Source organism: Homo sapiens, chromosome 19, assembly GCF_000001405.40.
Source record: "Homo sapiens chromosome 19, GRCh38.p14 Primary Assembly".
NCBI classification, from domain to species: Eukaryota; Metazoa; Chordata; class Mammalia; order Primates; family Hominidae; genus Homo; species Homo sapiens.
The window spans coordinates 14,630,532-14,650,828 of record NC_000019.10 but is presented as its reverse complement, the minus strand read 5'-3'; the positions used below and the strand labels follow the sequence as shown (position 1 = coordinate 14,650,828).

Here is a 20,297-nt window from a genome sequence, read left to right as displayed (position 1 = left end):
CAGAAGCAAACCCTGAAAGAAGTGTGAGAAGTTTCTTTGGGAGGTGATCCCCAGGAACAACAGTGGGTGTATTCATCAGTGTTCTCCAGAGAATCACAACTAAAGAGCTGAAGAGTGTAGGGTGTGGGGGGGTGTGGGAAGAGGGGAGAGAGAGAGAGAGAGAGAGAGAGAGAGAGAGAGAGAGAGAGAGAGAGAGAGATGGAGACAGAGAGCAAGAGATGAGAGAGATGGAGAGAAACAGATGTGGAGAGGCAGATGGGTAAAGAGAGATGGAGAGAAAGATGGGGAGAGAGGTGGAAAGAGAGACATGGGGAGAGACAGATGGGAAGAGAGAGATGGGGAGAGAAAGATGGAATTAGATGGGGAGAGAGATGTGGAAAGAGAGAGATGGGGAGAGCGATGGAAAGAGAGAGATGGGGACAGCGATGGAAAGAGAGAGAAGGGGAGAGAGATGGAAAGAGAGAAGGGAAGAGAGATGGAAAAAGATAGGGAAAGAGATGGAAAGAGAAAGATGAGAAAAGAGAGATGGGGAGAGTGGTGGAAAGACAGAGATGGGGAGAGAAATGGAAAGAGAGAGAAGGGAAGAGAGATGGAAAGAGAGAGATGGGGACAGAGATGGAGAGGAGAGAGATGCAAAGAGAGAGATGGGGGAGAGAGATAGGAAGAGAGGTGGAAAGAGAGAGATGAGTAGAGAGAGATGGAAAGAGAGAGATGAGGAGAGGGATGGAAAGAGAGAGATGGGGAGAGAGAGATCAAAAGCAAGAGATGGGGAGAGAGATGGGAAGAGAGGGATGGGGAGAGAGATGGAAAGAGAGAGATGGGGAGGGAGAGATGGAGAGAGAGATGGAAAGACAGAGATTGAAAGAGAGAGATGGGGAGAAAGAGATGGAGAGAGATGGAAAGAGAGAGATGGGGAGGGAGAGATGGAGAGAGAGATGGAAAGACAGAGATCGAAAGAGAGAGATGGGGAGAAAGAGATGGAGAGAGATGGAAAGAGAGAGATGGGGAGGGAGAGATGGAGAGAGAGATGGAAAGACAGAGATTGAAAGAGAGAGATGGGGAGAAAGAGATGGAGAGAGATGGAAAGAGAGAGATGGGGAGGGAGAGATGGAGAGAGAGATGGAAAGACAGAGATCGAAAGAGAGAGATGGGGAGAAAGAGATGGAGAGAGATGGAAAGAGAGAGATGGGGAGGGAGAGATGGAGAGAGAGATGGAAAGACAGAGATCGAAAGAGAGAGATGAGGAGAAAGAGATGGAGAGAGATGGAAAGAGAGAGATGGGGAGAAAGAGATGAAAAGAGGGATGGAGAGAGAGAGATGGAAAAAGAGAGATGGAGAGAGAGATCAAAAGAGAGAGATGGGGAAAAAGGTGGAAAGAGAGAGATGGGGAGAGAGAGATGAAATTAGAGAGATGGGGAGAGAGATGGAAAGAGAGAGATGGGGAGAGAGAGATGGAAAGAGAGATGGGGAGAGAGATGGAAAAAGAGAGATGGGCAGAGGGAGATCAAAAGCGAGAGATGGGAAGAGACAGATCAAAAGCGAGATGGAGAGATGGAAAGAAAGAGATGGGGAGAGAAAGATGGAAAGAGATAGATGGAAAGAGAGAGATGGGGAGAGAGAGATGAAAAGAGAGAGAGGGAGAGAGGTGGAAAGAGAGAGATGGGGAGAGAGATGGAAAGAGAGAGATGTGGAGAGAGAGACGGAATTCGAGAGATGGGGAGAGATGGGGAGAAAGATGGAAAGAGAGATAGGGAGAGAGAGATGGAATTAGAGAGATGGGGAGAGATATATGGAAAGAGAGAGATGTGGAAAGAGATCAAAAGAGAGATCGAAAGAGAGAGATGGGGAGAGAGAAATGGGGGAGAGAGATGGAAAGAGAGAGATGGGGAGAGAGAAGGAAAGAAAGAGATGAGGAGGGACGAGGAGAGTCATTTTAAAGAATTGGCTCACGTGACTATGGAAGGCCGACATGTCCAAAATCTGCAGGGTGGGCAGGCAGGCAGGAGACACAAGGTAGAACTGATAGTGCAGCTTGAATCCAAAGAGAGTCTGAGGCCAGAACTACCTCTTTCTCAGGAGACCTTAGTCTAGTTTCTCTTGAGGCCTTCAACTGATTGGATAAGGCCCACCCACATTATAGCAGGCAATCTGTTTTACTCAGTCTACTGATTTAAATATTAATCTCATCTTTAAAACACCTTCATGGCAACATCCATGCCTCATGTCTGGGGACCATGGCCTAACCAAGTGGACATGTAAAATGAACTATCACAGTAGGTAAGAGGCAAAGTAAGACAGGCAAGTAAAGGCAGCCAATGAGGTAGGTACCTGAGTGAGCAGCTTGCTGTTGGGGTACCTGGGGCTCAATCTCACTGAGCTGTCCCATTCGAGAAGAGGGAGCTAGGACGTCTGTCCATCTGCTCTGATCTATCATTGGTGGAGGGTTGCTCCGGGGGCTGAACTTTCAAGCTCTTCCAGCCTGTCCTCTGTGCAGGCCAAACACAAATTCACGCCCATGGAAGTTCCCAGGCAGAATCACCGATGCTTACAGCAGAATTAATCAGCATATTAAAGAAACCAAGAATGCCAGGGATTCGAGCCAGGGTGCCCACCGTACCTACAGCCTTTGTAGGAAGAAATAGATTATTATTCATTGTCTCAGTGTTACCAGACTTTGAAGTTTCCAGAAAATGCAAAAAGTGGGTTGTTTGTAGGAAAACATCTTTTTTTTTTTTTTTTTTGTCTTTGAGATGGAGTCTCACTCTGTCACCCAGACTGGAGTGCAGTGGCGTGATCGCAGCTTACTTCAGCCTCCGCCTCTTGGGTTCAAGCGATTCTCCAGCCTCAGCCTCCCAAGTAGCTGGGATTACAAGCATGTGCCACCACAACCAGCTAATCTTTGTATTTTTAGTAGAGACAGGGTTTCACCATGTTGACCAGGCTGGTCTTGAACTTCTGACCTCAAGTGATCCACCACCCCCTCAGCCTCCCAAAGTGCTGGGGTTACAGGTGTGAGCCACCATGCCCGGTGCCAGCACTCTGTTAAAACGAATCCTCCAGGGATCACAGGATTTAAGCTCCATCTGAGAACAACTCTTCTAAAAAACGGCAGACCGGGCATGGTGGCTCATGCCTGTAATCCCAGCACTTTGGGAGACCAAGACATGTGGATCACCTGAGGTCAGGAGTTTGAGACCAGCCTGGCCAACATAGTGAAACCCTATCTCTACTAAAAAGACAAAAAATTAGCCAGGCATGGTGGTGAGTGCCTGTAATCCCAGCTACTTGGGAGGCTGAGGCAGGAGAATCACTTGAACCCGGGAGGCGGAGGTTGCAGTGAGCCAAGATCACGCCACTGCACTCCAGCCTGGCTGGGCGACAAGAGCGAGACTCCGTCTCAAAAAAAAAAAAAAAAAAAGAAAGAAAAGAAAAGAAAAAAGATTCCATCTTTCTGTTTCCTCAGGTCCCAGTGCCATTGCCTTTATCTCATATTCTTCTCTTGGAAACATCATAAATGCAACTTTTTTTGAAGAGATGGATAAGAAAGATCAAGTGTATCTGAACTCTCAGGTTGTGAGTGCTGCTATTGGACCCAAAAGGAACGTGTCTCTCTCCAAGTCTGTGACGCTGACTTTCCAGCACGTGAAGGTGGGTCACAGGTATGATTTGAGCTTGTGGGTTCTCAAGGAGGCAGGCCAAACGATGTGTGTATCATCCCAGGCTGTGGTTCTAGACCCACTCTGTTCAGGGTCGTAGTCAGGAGCACCTGTCGCTATTGAGCATTTGAAATGTAGCTGGTCTGAATCGAGATTTTGAAGACAGTATTTCCAGATTTACATCTTGTAAATCAGCCTTTGAAGACTTAATAAGAAGAAAACAATTAGCTTGATTTAAACCAGGCAGGTTGGCATGCTCCTATACTTCCAGCTACTCGGGAGGCTGAGGCAAGAGGATTGCTTGAGCCCAGGAGTTGGAGGCTGCAGTGAGCTATGATTGCACCACTGCACTCCAGCCTGGGGCACAGAGCAAGACACTGTCGGAAGAAGAAGAAAAACAGTAAGGAGAAGAAGAAAAGAAACAAAGAAACAAAGAGGAAAGAAGGAAGGAAGGAAGGAAGGAAGGAAGGAAGGAAGGAGGGAGGGAGGGAGGGAGGGAGGGAGGGAGGGAGGAAGAGAGAGAGGGAAGTGACTGAGAATTTCCCCAAACCAATGTCAAACACCAAACCACAGATCCAGGAGTTTCAGAGAACCAATAAGAATAAATGCAAAAAAAAAAAAAAAAAGAATTAGCTAGATGTAATCATTCTACATGGTATGCAAATACAAGTATTATAAATCACACTGTATCCCATAAATATATACAATTATAATGTATAAATTAAAAATACATTTTTAAAAAGTAAATCAAAACAAAAAAAGAAAAGAAGAAAGGTCACACCTGTAATCCCAGCACTTTGGGAGGCCAAGGTGGGGGGATCATGAGGTCAAGTGATCAAGTGGCCAACTTCGTGAAACCCCATCTCTACTAAAAATACAAAAATTAGCTGGGCATGGTGGCACATGCCTGTAGTCCCAGCTACTTGGGAGGGTGAGGCAGGAGAATCTCTTGAACCCAGGAGGCGGAGGTTGCGGTGAGCCAAGATCGCGCCACTGCACTCCAGCCTGGCAACAGAGTCAGACTCCGTCTCAGAAAAAAAGAAAGAGAAGAAGAAAGGAATGTAAAATATCTCCTTGATAATATCTATGTTGATTATATTTATTAATTTATACTGATATATTTAAAAGATACTATGTTGGATATAGTGGGTTAAATAAAATTTATTATTAAAGTTAATTGATCTATATCTTTACCTTTTTTGAGAAAGGGTCTCATTCTGTTGTCCAGGCTGGAGTGCAGTTGCACAATCATAGCTCACTACAGCCTCGGACTCCTGGGCTCAAGGGACTCTCCCACTTCAGCTTCCCCAGCAGCTGGAACTACAGGTGTGTGCCACCACGCCCAACTAACTATTTTATTTTTGGTAGAGAGGGGGACTCATAATGTTGTCGAGGCTGGTCTCAAACTCCTGGCCTCAAGCAACCCTCCCACCTCAGCTTCTTAAAACCCTGAAATTATAGGTATGAACGACTTCATCCGACCTGTTTTTCTATTTTCTTTTTTTTTTTTCTTTTTTTGAGTCGGAGTCTCTGTCGCCCAGGCTGAAGTACAGTGGTGCGATCTCAGCTCACTGCAACCTCCGCCTCCCAGGCCCAAGCGATTCTCCTGCCTCAGCCTCCCAAGTAGCTGGGATTACGAGCAAGTGCCACCACACCTGGCTCATTTTTGTATTTTTAGTAGCGATGATGTCTGGCCATGTTGGACAAACTGGTCTCCAAGTCCTGACTTTAGGTGATCCACCCGCCTTGGCTTCCCAAAGTGCTGGGATTACAGTCATGAGCCACTGTGCCCGGCTTCAAAGGCTCATTTTATTCTCTCTCCTCATGACTTTTCTTTCCTATATCATGCCTCTCATTGCATAAGCAATTATTGTGTTGTAAGGGAGTAGAGACAAAATTGATTATACAACGACCAGGGACATTTGGCTTAGAGAGACTTTAGGGAAAAACATGAGAGCTTCAGACTCCACTGCTTTTTTTGGGTTTTTTTTTGTTTTTTTCCTCCCATGGTTGGGGCAAGGTTCTAAAACCAAAGAAATCTCTTGAAACTGTGGTTCCCAGGGAGCCTTTGCTTTATTTTATGTTACATAAAATCCCAAAAGAGCTGCGGTTATGGATCGGGGGTCCTGGTGGCCGCATAAAATAGAAATCAGGTACAGCGGCTCATGCCCATAACCACAGCCTCTTGGGAGGCCAAGGCAGGAGGATTGCTTGAGGCCAGGAGTTCAAGACCAGCCTGGGCAATATGTTGAAACCCCATCTCTACTAAAAATACAAAAGTTAGCTGGGCATGGTGGTACACACTTGTAGTTCTAGCTACTCTGGAGGCTGAGATGGGAGGATCGTTTGAGCCAGGGAGGTCAAGGTGGCAGTGAGCTGTGATTGCGTCACGGCACTCCAGCCTGGGTGACAGAATGAGACCCCGTCTCAAAAACAAACAAACAAAACAGAAATCACCTGAGTCACTCTTCACACAGGTGCCTTAGCAGGTGGCACCCTGGCATAGGCCAACACTGAGAACTGTCCCTCCTGAGGAAAAAGACAATGAGCTGGCCAGATGCAGTGGCTCATGCCTGTATGATCCCAGCACTTTGGGAGGCAAAGGCAGGAAGATTGCTTGAGTCCAGGAGTTCGAGACCAGCCTGGGCAGCACGGTTGACCCTGTCTCTACAAAAAATACAAAAATTAGCCTGGTGTGGTACTGCACGTCTGTAATCCCAGCTACTTGGGAGGCTGAGGCAGGAGAATCGCTTGAACCCAGGAAGCGGAGGTTGCAGTGAGCCGAGATTGAGCCACTGCACTCCAGCCTGAGTAACAAAGCAAGATTTTGTCTCCAAAAAAAAAAAAGAAAGAAAGAAAGACAAAGACAATGAGCCCTTTCTATTTTCTATTTTCAGATGACCCCCAGTACCAAAAAGGTCTTCTGTGTCTACTGGAAGAGCACAGGGCAGGGCAGCCAGTGGTCCAGGGATGGCTGCTTCCTGATACACGTGAACAAGAGTCACACCATGTGTAATTGCAGTCACCTGTCCAGCTTCGCTGTCCTGATGGCCCTGACCAGCCAGGTATGATGTATATGTTTTATTCTTCCAGCAAATACTTTCTGAGCCCCTACTAAGTGGTAATAAGTGCTATTAAAAAAAAAAAAAAAAACTGAAAAAAGGCCGAGCATGGTGACTCATGCCTTTAATCCCAGCACTTTGGGAGGCCAAGACGGGCAGATCACCTGAGGTCAAGAGTTTGAAACCAGCCTGGCCAACATGGCAAAAACCCATCTCTGCTAAAAATACAAAAATTCGCCAAACATAGTGGTACATGCCTGTAATCCCAGCTACTCAGGAGGCTGAGACAAGAGGATGGCTTGAACCTGGGAGGCAGAGGTTTCAGGGAGCTGAGAGCAAGCCATTGCACTCCAGCCTGGGTGATAGAGCAAGACTCCATCTCAAAAAAAAAAAAATCAACATGTGGAAAAGACGCAAGGTAAGAAGTCCAGGAGAAACCTGGTGCAAGCTTCCAGTGTCCTCTCCCAGGAAAGTCACACAGATGCAGTTCATTCTCCCAGCAATGACTTATGACAACGCATGTGAAGTGTTGTCAGCCAGGGAAGCTCACCAGAGCTTTGGTGTTCAGGGTGTGTATTGGGGGATCATTCACATAGGGATGCAATGCCTACATGGTTGACCTCAGTTGCTCAGACTATAGGACCCCAGGGCAAAGATATGATTACTGGGCCAGGCACAGTGGCTCACACCTGTAATCCCAGCACTTTGGGAGGCCGAGGCAGGCAGATCACGAGGTCAGGAGATCAAGACCATCCTGACCAACATGGTGAAACCCCATCTCTACTAAAAATACAAAAATTAGCCAGGTGTGGTGGCACACGCCTGTTGTCCCAGCTACGCAGGAGGCTGAGGCAGGAGAATTGCTTGAACCTGGGAGGCAGAGGTTGCAGCGAACCGAGATCACACCACTGAACTCCATCCTGGCGACAGAGCGAGACTCTGTCTAAAAAAAAAAAAAAAAAAAAACCATGATTACTATAAACCACATCATGAATGACTACTATTAAAAAGTCAAAAAATAACAGATGCTGGTGAGGTAGCAGAAAAAAAGGAACACACACTGTTGGTGGGGTTGTAAATTGGTTCAACCATTGTGGAAAGCAGCATGTCACTTTCTCAAAGAGCTGAAAACAGGACTACCATTCAACCCAGCAATCCTGTTACTGGGTATATACCCAAAGGAATATAAATCATTCTATCATAAAGACACATGCACATGTATGTTCACTGCAGCACTATTCACAATAGCAGAGACATAGAATCAACCTAAATGCCCATCAATGGTAGACTGGATAAAGAAAATGTGGTACATATGGAATACATACACCATGGAATACTATGCAGCCATAAAAAAGAATGAGATCATGTCCTTTGCAGGGACATGGATGGAGCTGGAGGCCATTATCCTTAGCAAACTAACACAGGAACAGAAAACCAAATACTCGTGTTCTCACTTATAAGTGGGAGCTACATGAGGAGACATATGGACACAAAGAGGGGAACAACAGACACAAAGAGGGTGGAGAGTGGGAGGAGGGAGAGGACCAGGAAAAATAACTAATGGGTACTAAGCTTAATACCTGGGTGATGAAATAATCTGTACAAGAGACCCCCGCGACAGGGGTTTACCTATGTAACAAACCTGCACATGTATCTCTGAACTTAAAAAAGTTTTTTAAATCCCTTCATTAGTATGAGCTCTCTGATCAAACTGGTACTGCATAGCACAAGCCCTCTGCATACAAAGACACTTTATTTTTTTTTTAGATACGGGGTCTCACTTGTTGCTCAGGTCGGTCTTGAACTCCTGGCCTCCAGCAATCCTCCCACCTCAGCTTCCCAAAGCATTGGGATTACAGGTGTGAGACACCATGGCCCAAAAATCACTTTGTAAAGATTGTGGTAAAATACACAGAACATAAAATTTACCATCTAAGCCATTTTTAAATGTATATACAGTTCAGTAAAGTACAATCATATCGTGCAATCATCAACCACCATCCATCTCCAGAACTCTTTCATCTTGCAATACTGAAACTCTTCACTCCTTAACCAACTCCCTATTCTCTCTCTCTCCTCTCCCCAGCTTCTGGTAACTGCCATTCTACTTTTTTTAGGGGAAAAAAATCATATGTCCAAACTCATCAAAGTGTATACATTTAATATGAGTAATTTTTGATACATTAAGTATACACCTCAATAAAGCTGAAAATAAAAAAGACAGTCTAGCAATCTATATTAGCAGTCTACATTAACAATCACATTAGCAGTCTGTATTAACAATCTACATTGGCAGTCTACATTAACAATCTACGTTAGCCATCTATATTAGCAGTGTATATTAGCAGTCTACATTAGCAATCTACATTAGCAGTCTAACGGTCCCACACTACCACTGGGCTTGGTGCCTGTGTCTAGGATGCCCCAGTTCAAGGAGGGAGCCATAATCCCAGTGCAGGAAAGCATCACTGTGAACTTTTTTTCTCGGTCCCAGGAGGAGGATCCCGTGCTGACTGTCATCACCTACGTGGGGCTGAGCGTCTCTCTGCTGTGCCTCCTCCTGGCGGCCCTCACTTTTCTCCTGTGTAAAGCCATCCGGAACACCAGCACCTCACTGCATCTGCAGCTCTCGCTCTGCCTCTTCCTGGCCCACCTCCTCTTCCTCGTGGGGATTGATCGAACTGAACCCAAGGTACTGACAGTGTCTCAGAGGATGCCCTTTCTGCCCCAAGGTACACTGAGCTCATGGAGCAATGCTGCACTAGATTCCTTAATAAAATGTCCTTGGGTCTGTAGAGGAGAAAAATATAATTTTCCCGCTACCCTTCTGAGATCGTAGCTGGGACCCATGTAACAAAAGACAGATAAGAGAAAAAGCAAACAGAAGTTCATTAACATATATTCATATTTCATATATACATGGGAGATACCCAGGTAACGAGGCATTCTCAAAGAGGTAGTTTAGAACGACAGCGTTTTTGACAAAGAATGATGAATTTTTGAAGAAGGGAAAAAGATCTTGGCTCTCTAGGGGCACAAATTATGGGAAGGCAAATATCTGGGAAATGAGTGATAGATAAAGGCTTACTAGTATCATTGGTTGTATTACTCCATTTTCAGGCTGCTGATAAAGATATACCCAAGACTGGGAAGAAAAAGAGGTTTAATTGGACTTGCAGTTCCACATGGCAGGGGAGGCCTCAGAATCATGGCGGGAGGCGAAAGGCACTTCTTACATGGTGGCTGCAAGAGAAAAAATGAGGAAGATCCAAAAGCAGAAACCCCTGATAAAACCATCAGATCTCGTGAAATTTATTTCCTACCACGAGAACAATATGGGGAAAACCGCCCCCATGATTCAAATTATCTCCCACCGGGTCCTCCCCACAACATTTGGGAATTATGGGAGTGCAATTCAAGATGAGATTTGGGTGGGGACACAGAGCCAAACCATATCATTGGTTTTGTAGATTCCTCTGGTGTTGGCTCCAGACCAATGAGGATCTAAAGTTGTCTCGGTGGCCGGGCACAGTGGCTCACACCTGTAATCCCAGCACTTTGGGGGACTGAGGTGGGCAGATCACCTGAGGTCAGGAGTTCAAGGCCAGCCTGGTCAACATGGCAAAACTCCGTCTCTACTAAAAATACAAAATATTAGCCCAGCGTGGTGATGAGCACCTGTAATCCCAGCTACTTGGGAGGCTGAGGCAGGAGAATTGCTTGAACCCGGGAGGCAGAGGCTGCAGTGAGCCAAGATTGCGCCATTGCACTCCAGCCTGGGCAACAAGAGCAAAACTCCATCTTAAATAAATAAATAAGTTGTCTTAGTGATCAACTTTTGTCCCCCCCATAGCAAGGGTAGGAGGGTAGAAGGAAGAGAATAGGTATGAGGAATGCCTTTGTAAACTAATGTCCTGGAATACTATTCAGCCTTCAGAAAAAGAAGGAAATCCTGCCATTTGTGATAACATGGATGAACCTGGAGATTGTTAAGCTGAGTGAAATAAGCAAGGCACAGAAAGACAAACAGTGCATGATCTCACTTATGTGTGGAATCTAAAATAGCCAAACTCATAAAACCAAAGAGGGGAATGGTTGTTAGCAGAGACTAAGGCAGCAGGGAAGGGGTTTAGGGAGATGTTGGTCAAAGGATACCAAATTTCAGCTAGACGGAAAGAATAAATACAAGAGAGCTATTGTACATCATGACTATAGTCAATAACAATATATTCTATATTGAAAAATTGCTAACAAAGTAGATTTTAAGTGTTCTCACCCCCCAAAAAAGACAAGTACAAAAACGTATGTCCTGCTTTTAGGCAAATAGGGGGAGGGCAGAGAGCTATTTTTGTATCTGCTTCTTCTCAACTGCCTTCAGTTTAAAATAATCCCTTGGGCCAGACACAGTGGCTGACACCTGCAATCCCTGCACACTGGGAGGCAATGGTGGAAAGATCACTTGAGGCCAGGCGTTTGAGGCCATCCTGGGCAATATAGTGAGACCTTGTCTCTACAAAAAAAACAAAAAAAATAACAAAATTAGCTGGACACAGTGGTGCACGTCTGTAGTCCCAGCTGCTTGGGAGGCTGAGGCAGGAAGATTGCTTGAACCCAGGAGTTCGAGGCTGCAGTGAGCTATGATTGCAACCACTGTACTCCAGCCTGGGTGACAGAGCAAGACCATGTCTCAAAAAAAAAAGAATCATAATCATAATAATAATCTCTTATGCTAAAGTGAAACTTTTTTCTAAATTTTATTTTTAATTGAAAAATAATAAATGTATAAAATTATGGGGTACAATGTGAAGTTTCCATAGACATACACATTATGAAATGACCAAACCAGGATAATAAACATATCTATCACTTCCATACTTATCATTTCTTTGTGGTGAAAACATTTAAAATTCACTCTTTTAGGACTGGGGTGGCGGTTCATGCTTGTAATACCAGCACTTTAGGAGGCCAAGGCGGGAGGATCACTTCAGCCCAGGAGTTGGAGACTGGCCTGGGCAACACAGTGAGACCCCGTCTCTGCAAAAATTAGTGGATATGGTGGCACACACTTGTAGTCCCAGCTACTAGGGAGGCTGAGGTGGGAGGATCACTTGAGCCTGAGAGTTCAAGGCTGCAGTGAGCTATGATTGTGCCACTGCACTCCAGCCTGGGTGACAGAGTGAGATCCTGTCACAAAGAAATAAAATAGAACAAAATCCACTCTTTTAGCAACTTCAAAATTCATAATATATTAACTATAGTCACCACGCAATACAGTAGGAGTAGAGAGTAGAATGGAGGTTCTCAGAGGTTGAGGGGGGAAGTGGATGAGGAAAGGAGACATAGCTCAAAGTATACAAAGTCTTAGTTTAAAAGGAGGGGTAAATTCTGGTGATCTGTTGCAAAGTGGCATAGGTGGAGGTGGCACATTCTGCTACCCTTTCAGTCCCAAGGGCAGGTTGAAGGGATTGGTGCCCAGGTGGCCAAAGCTATCCTTGACTATCAACTATCTATTTTTTTAAATATAATTGAGATGGGGTCTCACTAAGTTGCCCAGGCTGGTCTCAAACTCCTGGGCTCAAGCAATCCTCCCACCTCAGCCTCCCAAAGTGCTGAAATTACAGACATGAGCCACTGCATCCAGTTCCCCTTTACTTTTAGTGCCCTTGGTCTGATGTCAGGTGCTCTGAACCCAAAGCCAATGTCAAGGAGAGGTCCTAGGGCCATACTCCACCCTGACAACCCCTTCAGGCATCCCTTTCTCCTCCCCCAGGTGCTGTGCTCCATCATCGCCGGTGCTTTGCACTATCTCTACCTGGCCGCCTTCACCTGGATGCTGCTGGAGGGTGTGCACCTCTTCCTCACTGCACGGAACCTGACAGTGGTCAACTACTCAAGCATCAATAGACTCATGAAGTGGATCATGTTCCCAGTCGGCTATGGCGTTCCCGCTGTGACTGTGGCCATTTCTGCAGCCTCCTGGCCTCACCTTTATGGAACTGCTGATCGGTGAGCTTGAATCCCACCTTGTGTCATGGACAGTTTCCTAAGAAAGCTTTTGAGGGCAGCATTCATGATGATGGTGGGAATATACGTAACCAATGCACTCTACGTTCTCCTTTATAACAGCTCTAACCTCTTTCCCAACAAAGCAGGGTGAGATGGTGGTAAGAGTTTGCAAGGTTCTGGAAGTCTTATACAACCAACAGGTTCATATGCCCACTGCACAGTAACGTACCAATCCACCAAGACAGCAGGGTTTGCAGCAGAGAAAGAGCTTAATGAGGCCAGGTGTGGTGGCTCACACCTGTAATACCAACAATTTGGGAGGCCAACGTGGGAGGATCACTTGAGGCCAGGAGTTCAAGACCAGCCTGGGCAATATAGCAAGGCCCTCATCTCTACAAAAAATTAGCTGAGCACAGTGGCTCACACCTGTAATCCCAGCACTTTGGGAAGCCCAGACAGGAGGATCACTTGAGTTCACAACTTCAAGACCAGCCTGGGCAACATAGCAAGACCTTGTGTCTACTAAAGATTAAAAAAAAAAAAAATAGCCAAGCATGGTGGTTCACACCTGTAGTCCCAGCTACTCAAGAAGCTGAGATGGAAGGATTGCTTGAGCCCAGGAGTTCAAGGCTGCAGTGAGCTATGCTCAGGCCACTACATTCCAGCCTGGGTGACAGATCAAGACCTTGTCTCAAAAAAAAAAAAAAAAAAGAGCTTAAAAATCTCAGGGCGCCAAGCGAGAAGATGAGAGAAGACTCTCAAATCAATCTCCTCAAGGAGTTCGGGACTGGGACTTTTAAAGGGATCATGGAGGGTGTGGAGGCTGGAAAATGTGGGTCAGGGTACAGCAGACAAAATCATCAGGAGACGGAAACTGCCTTCTTTGGTGACTCAGCTCCTTCTGTGGTCCTTCAGAGCAGCTGAAGCCAGTAGTTTCACTGGTACACAGGACCTGAAAGAATATCTCAAGGGGAAACTTAATTTTTTTTGTTTTGTTTTTTTGTTTTATTGAGACAGAGTTTCGCTCTTGTTGCCCAGGCTGGAGTCCAATGGCACGGTCTTGGCTCACTGCAACCTCCACCTCCCGGGTTCAAGCGATTCTCCTGCCTCAGCCTCCCAAGTAACTGAGATTACAGGTGCCCACAACCACGCCCAGCTAATTTTTGTACTTTTAGTAGAGATGGGGTTTCACCATGTTGACCAGGCTGGTCTTGAACTCCTGACCTCAGGTGATCCATGCACCTCGGCCTCCCAAAGTGCTGAGATTACAGGTGTGAGCCACCACACCTGGCTGAAACTTCATGTTTTATAATATTTAAGTTGTTACCTATAGAGCAGTAAAGGGAAACTGTTATCTAGGATCTGTGTGATTCTAGGATAACAGGCACCAAACAGCTAGTAGGAAGCAGGTCAGAGAGCAAGCTGACCTGGCAGTGAATCCTGGATGTGCTGCAAGTTTGGCTTGTTTTCATTTCTCCCCGTTTTGTCTTCTCTGATTATTTTTATAAAGTTTATAGGGATGGCTTCAGAAGGAGAGGGTTTGGGGTGTTGTTCAAAAGACCATCAAGATGAATAAATAATAGAAAGAAGAGCTTTAAGGTCGGGCACGGTGACTCATGCCTGTAATCCCAGCGCTTTGGGAGGCCAAGGCGGGAGAATCGTTTGAGGCCAGGAGTGCGGGACCAGCCTGGCCCACATGTGAAAACCCATCTCTACTAAAAATACAAAAATTAGCCAGACGTGGTGGCACACACCTACTTAGGAAGCTGAAGCAGGAGAATCGCTTGAACCCGGGAGGTGGAAGTTGCAGTGAGCTGTGATTGTACCAACGCACCCCAACCTAAACGACAGAGTGAGACTCTGAAAAAAAAAAGAAAAAGGAAAGAAAAAAGAAAAGAAAAGAAAGAAAGAAAGAAAGAAAGAGGAAGGAAAGGAAAGGAAAGGAGGAAAGGAAGAAAGAAAGAAAGAAAGAAAGAAAGAAAGAAAGAAAGAAAGAAAGAAAGAAAGAAAGAAAGAAAGAAAGGGAAAGGAAAGGAAAGGAAAGGAAGGAAGGAAGGAAGGAAGGAAGGAAGGAAGGAAGGAAGGAAGGAAGAAAGAAAGAGAAAGAGAGAGAAAGGAGAGCTTTATTGGCAATACTGGTTTGCAAACCAAAAAAAGAAAGTCTCCAGGATGAACCAAAGGTGCTCCCTCTTTGAAAAGGGGAAGGACAAGTTAGGTTTTATGCCTCACTAGATCTGTATTACACAACAGAGTCATACACATTCAGGAGGTTTGGAAAAGCTGTACCTATTTAAGATGAGAGCAGAGTGTATGCACAATGGATAAACATATATATAACATATATCCCATGTTCACTTTGGGGCAGGATTTTAGCATTAAAATAAGATGGAAAAGCTGGGCGCAGTGACTCAAGCCTGTAATCCCAGCACTTTGGGAGGCTGAGGCGGGTGGATGACCTGAGGTCAGGAGTTCAAGACCAGCCTGGCCAACACAGTGAAACCCCGTCTCTACTAAAAAGACAAAAAATTAGCCGGGCGTGGTGGTGCGCGCCTGTAATCTCAGCTATTTGGGAGGCTGAGGCAGGAGAATCACTTGAACCCGGGAGGTGGAGGTTGCAGTGAGCTGAGATCACGCCATTGCACTCTCCAGCCTGGGCAACAAGAGCGAAACTCTGTCTCAAAAAAAAAAAAAAAAATGGAAGACCAGGCATGGTGGTTCACGCCTGTAACCCCAGCACTTTGGGAAGGCAAGGAGGAAGGATTGCTTGAGCCCAGAACTTCAAGACCAGGCTGGGCAACATAGCAAAACCCCATCTCTACCAAAAAAAAAAAATTGTTTTAATTAGCTGGACACGGTGGTGCATGCCTGTAGTCCCAGCTACTCAGGAGGCTGGGGCGGGAGGATCGCCTGAGCACAGGAGTTCAAGGTTGCAGTAAGTTGTGATAGAGCAACTGCACCACAGCCTGAGTGACAGAGCAAGATCCAACTCTAAAAAATATATAAATAAAATAAAATAAACAATGACGAGGAATGTGGCTCTACACCAAAAGTTGAACCAAAGGACACAAAGACAGTTTGTGCACAGCCTCTATAAACTAACTGAAACTGGCTTAAGATCCATAATTGCTTTGACTGGTTCCCTTTCCAGTCAGAGTTATAGTGGTCTGGATCGTATATCAGAGGTAGGAGGGAACTGATGGCTCGTATTGTTATGGAGTTTAGCAAGCGTGGGTTTTCTTGTAGCCGAGGAATTTAGACAGTTGCTTCACCAGCCAGGCCCTGAACCCCCGACCCATGGGTAACTTGGTTTCCTTAACCTTAGGATCCATGTTAGTGGATATAGAAGTGTCTATTTCAATCTCTCGGATCACAAGAGTTAGGTCCCAACTTTATTCTTCCTGTAATTTGAGCTCTCCAGTCTCAGTCCCCTCATTAGCGAGATGAGAATAATAGTTGTCCCCATTGTTCCAACCTCACAGTGCTGGTGTGAAAATTCAACAGGACTGTGCTCCTAAAATGCTTAACAGGACGCTGTTCCTCCTAGCTGTTTGGTGCCTATTATCCTAAATCACACCACAGTTACTAAAAAGCTTAAATTCTATAAAAACCCCAAAAATCTGGTAATGTCACAAAGCTGTGTCCACCCCAGCCAACAGAGATCAATCTAACTATATTAAATCACATACTTAAATTACAAATTAAACTCTCTGTACACATACCAATTTAAATATGTATCTCCAATTGTGTGTAATAGGTTCAATAAGGCTCTAAATGAAAATATATTTTGTATACTACTACTTCAAAATACCTTGAGCTATGAGTATTTTTTATGTTGCAGCATCCATTTTAATTTGAGCACGTAATTTGTTGTTTTCATTTTAATCATAAAAATAAGACAAGTTTGTTAAAATTTTCATAAAATTTTCATAAAATTTCATATATATATTGAAATATATAAAGTGAAAGTGGCTGTCACATGATGTGTGGATCAAAGTTGCAATCAAAATGTGTAATCAAAGCTGATTGTTGGCCGGGCGTGGTGGCTCACGCCTGTAATCCCAGCACTTTGGGAGGCCAAGGGGAGCAAATCACTTGAGGTCTGGAGTTCAAAACCAGCCTGGCCAACATGGCAAAACCCCATCTCTACTAAAAATGCAAAAATTAGCCGGGTGTGGTGGTGCACATCTGTAATCCCAGCTATTCAGGAGACTGAGGCAGGAGAATCACTTGAATCCAGGAGGCAGAGGTTGCAGTGAGCTGAGATCGCACCACTGCACTCCAACCTGGGCAACAGAGCAAGACCCTGTCTCAAAAAAAAAAAAAAAAAAGCTATTGTCATCAGCTGACTTTCTTTTTATTTTATTTTATTTTATTTTATTTTATTTTATTTTATTTTTTTTGAGACGGAGTCTCAGTCTGTCGCCCAGGCTGGAGTGCGGTGGCGCGATCTTGGCTCACTGCAAGCTCCGCTTACCGAGTTCACGCCATTCTCCTGCCTCAGCCTCCCGAATAGCTGGAACTACAGGTGCCCGCCACCACGCCCAGCTAATTTTTATATTTTTAGTAGAGATGGGGTTTCACCACGTTAGCCAGGATGGTCTCAAGCTCCTGACTTCGTGAGCCGCCCATCTCGGCCTCCCAAAGTGCTGGGATTACAGGCGTGAGCCACCGTGCCTGGCCTGTCATCAGCTGACTTTCAAGAGAAACTGGAAACAATTCTCTGGTAGGAAAAGAGACACTTTATGTTGATCTCACGCACTTTCTCTGATCTCTCTTTGTATCTCTTTTCCCACTGTTCCTAGATGCTGGCTCCACCTGGACCAGGGATTCATGTGGAGTTTCCTTGGCCCAGTCTGTGCCATTTTCTCTGTGAGTATGTGCCTTCGATGTTCCCAAACTAGGAAGAACCAAGAGAAGTGCTGGGTACAAGATGGTACAAGGGGCTTGCATTTCCACTGTTGGGTGGTTTGATTTTCCACCTGCTACCAATTCAGTCCCATGTACAAGAGGGTAGGACTCCTGTGTGCAATTTAAAGTGGACACCATACATTACTTTAACTTGCACTCTGCCTTGTTTGTGTTGGTCCTGCAGGCGAATTTAGTATTGTTTATCTTGGTCTTTTGGATTTTGAAAAGAAAACTTTCCTCCCTCAATAGTGAAGTGTCAACCATCCAGAACACAAGGTAGGATGTGACAAATGGTACTTCCTATTCCCTTTCCTTCTGCCAGTCCTTCCTACATATCCATACACACGTACATTCAACAGCCATGCTCCCAGGACTAGCAAGACCACTGTAATCTTCCACCATCACAGTTAATGAGAACCTGAGTTAGCTAGAATACAAGCTAAGCTGCTGTGATAAAGAAAAAATCTCAAAAAAAAAAAAGAATAAAATAGAAGTTTATTTCAGTCTCATGTTGCAACCCAGAAGTGACCAGTTCAGGGCTAATAAAGAAGCTCTGCTCCACACAGTGTTCCAGGGTCTCAGGTGCTTTCTACTTTGTTGCTCCACCATCCTCTAGAAGGATGTTGCCCTTGTCAATATCCCATCCATGGGAAGGAGGTAATATAGGAGTTGCAGTTGCCACATTTGCTCATATCCCATTGGCTGATCTTTGTCACATGATAACACCCAGCTGCAAGGGAGGCTGGGAAATGTAGTCTCTACCTTGACCATGTGCCTTGTTTTAAAACTCAAAGGGGAAGAGATCTAACACTAAAAGGAAGATGAAAAGGGAGAAAAACATTCGTTTCTGCCACACTACACAAGATACACACAGGAGTATATTTTTTATCAAAAGCAACCAACTCAAATTTGCTAATCCAACAGTTACTAAGAAGCTTAAATTATATAGAAACCCTAAAAATGAATCTGGTAATGTCACAAAGCTATGTCCACCCCAGCCAATAGAGATCAATCTAGCTATATTAAATCACATGCTTAAATTACAAATTAAACTCTCTGTACATATACCAATTTAAATGTTTATCTCCAATCGTGTGTGATAGGTTCAATAAGAATCTAGATTAAAAGATATCTTGTATAATATTTCAAAATATCTTGAGGTATGAGTATTTTTATGTTGCAGCATCCATTTTAATTTGAGCATGTAATTTGTTGTTTTCATTTTAATCATAAAAATAAGACAACTTTGTTACATTTTTTTATAGTCTTTTGAAATATATACAGTAAAAAATGAAAATGGCTGTCCCTCTTCCTGCTACTTCCACTTCCCAGGAAGCCAGAATTAACAGCCTGTATGATGTGTGAGATAAAATATGACATTTTCCCAGAGCTTTCTCTGTGCACTTTTAAGTAGAACAGACCGACACACACACAATAGGATCACACTATACAAACTGTTCCTCAATTAGCTTTCCTCACTGATGTAATATCCTTAATAATTAGGGATATATATAATGTATATATGCATGTAATATAGATATTATATGTGTATGTACACACATATACATACACATATAATATATTCTATACATATATAACACAATGTATATTTTTATATACACTATCACTATATATTGTGATTATATGTTGTGATAGTGTATATAAAATATATATGTACATATATATATTGTGTGTGTATATATGCCATAAATACTATAAATAGGATGGCCTCATATCTCAGCTTACCTGGAACAGTCTCAGTTTATGTCTGTCGACACAATGTAATTATTAATAGTATCCCTTTCATTTTTTATTATTATTTTTATTCTTATTGATATATAATATTTATATACATTTACAAAGTATTTGTGATATTTTGATTCATGCATAAAATGTGCAATGATCAAATCAGGGTATTTAAGGTACTCATCACCTCAAACATTTATCATTTCTTTCTGTTAGGAACAGTACACCTCCTTTTGATCACAAAAGCCTTCCTGTTTGAATAACAAATTATATGACCCCGGCCGGGTGGGGTGGCTCACACCTGTAATCCCAACACTTTGGGAGGCCGAGGCAGGTGGATTATTTGAGGTCAGTCGTTCGAGACCAGCCTGGCCAACATGGTGAAACCCCTTCTCTACTAAAAATACAAAGATTAGCTGGGTGTGGTGACGTGCCTGTAATCCCAGCTACTCGGGAGGCTGAGGCTGGAGAATCGCTTGAACCCATGAGCTGAGATCACACCACTGCACTCCAGCCTGGGCCACAGAGCGAGACTCCGTCTCAACAAAAAAAATTATATGACCCCTGTCTATAAATGATAAGAGTGAGAGAGAAAGCACCCAGGTTTTCAAATGCCTTATGCATGTCTGGTACTAACTTTGTCCCATACATTGTCCTAAATACTTTCCCATTAAAGTCTCATGTAATCTTTATAGCAACCCCACGAAATAGGACAATTATTAAGATAAGGGAACTGAGGCTGGGTGCAGTGGTTCACGCCTTTAATCCCAATACTTTGGGAGGCCAAGATGGGTGGATCTCTTGAGGTCAGGAGTTCAAGACCAGCCTGGTCAACATGGCGAAACCCCATCTCCACTAAAAATAACAAAAATTAGCAGGGCATGATGGTGCATGCCTGTAGTTAGTCCCAGCTACTGGG

The 20,297-nt window shown here is 44.3% G+C and overlaps 1 protein-coding gene across 6 annotated transcripts in view; it reads left to right on the top strand.

Moving 5' to 3' along the window:
- ADGRE3 (adhesion G protein-coupled receptor E3) overlaps positions 1-20,297 on the top strand; it is a 74,728-nt gene that overhangs the window by 24,016 nt on the left and 30,415 nt on the right. For 5 of the 6 annotated variants that reach the window (XR_001753772.2, XM_011528374.3, NM_001289159.2 and 2 more), the window contains 6 exons: positions 3,464-3,648; positions 6,554-6,721; positions 9,213-9,410; positions 12,489-12,724; positions 17,527-17,593; positions 17,817-17,908. Coding sequence is in view for 5 of the 6 variants with exons in the window: in XM_011528374.3 (XP_011526676.1) it covers positions 3,464-3,648; positions 6,554-6,721; positions 9,213-9,410; positions 12,489-12,724; positions 17,527-17,593; positions 17,817-17,908 (946 nt within the window). In the remaining variant the exon portion in view is untranslated. The remainder of the gene's footprint in view (positions 1-3,463; positions 3,649-6,553; positions 6,722-9,212; positions 9,411-12,488; positions 12,725-17,526; positions 17,594-17,816; positions 17,909-20,297) is intronic. The other variant, XM_047439546.1, reaches the window with a different exon arrangement.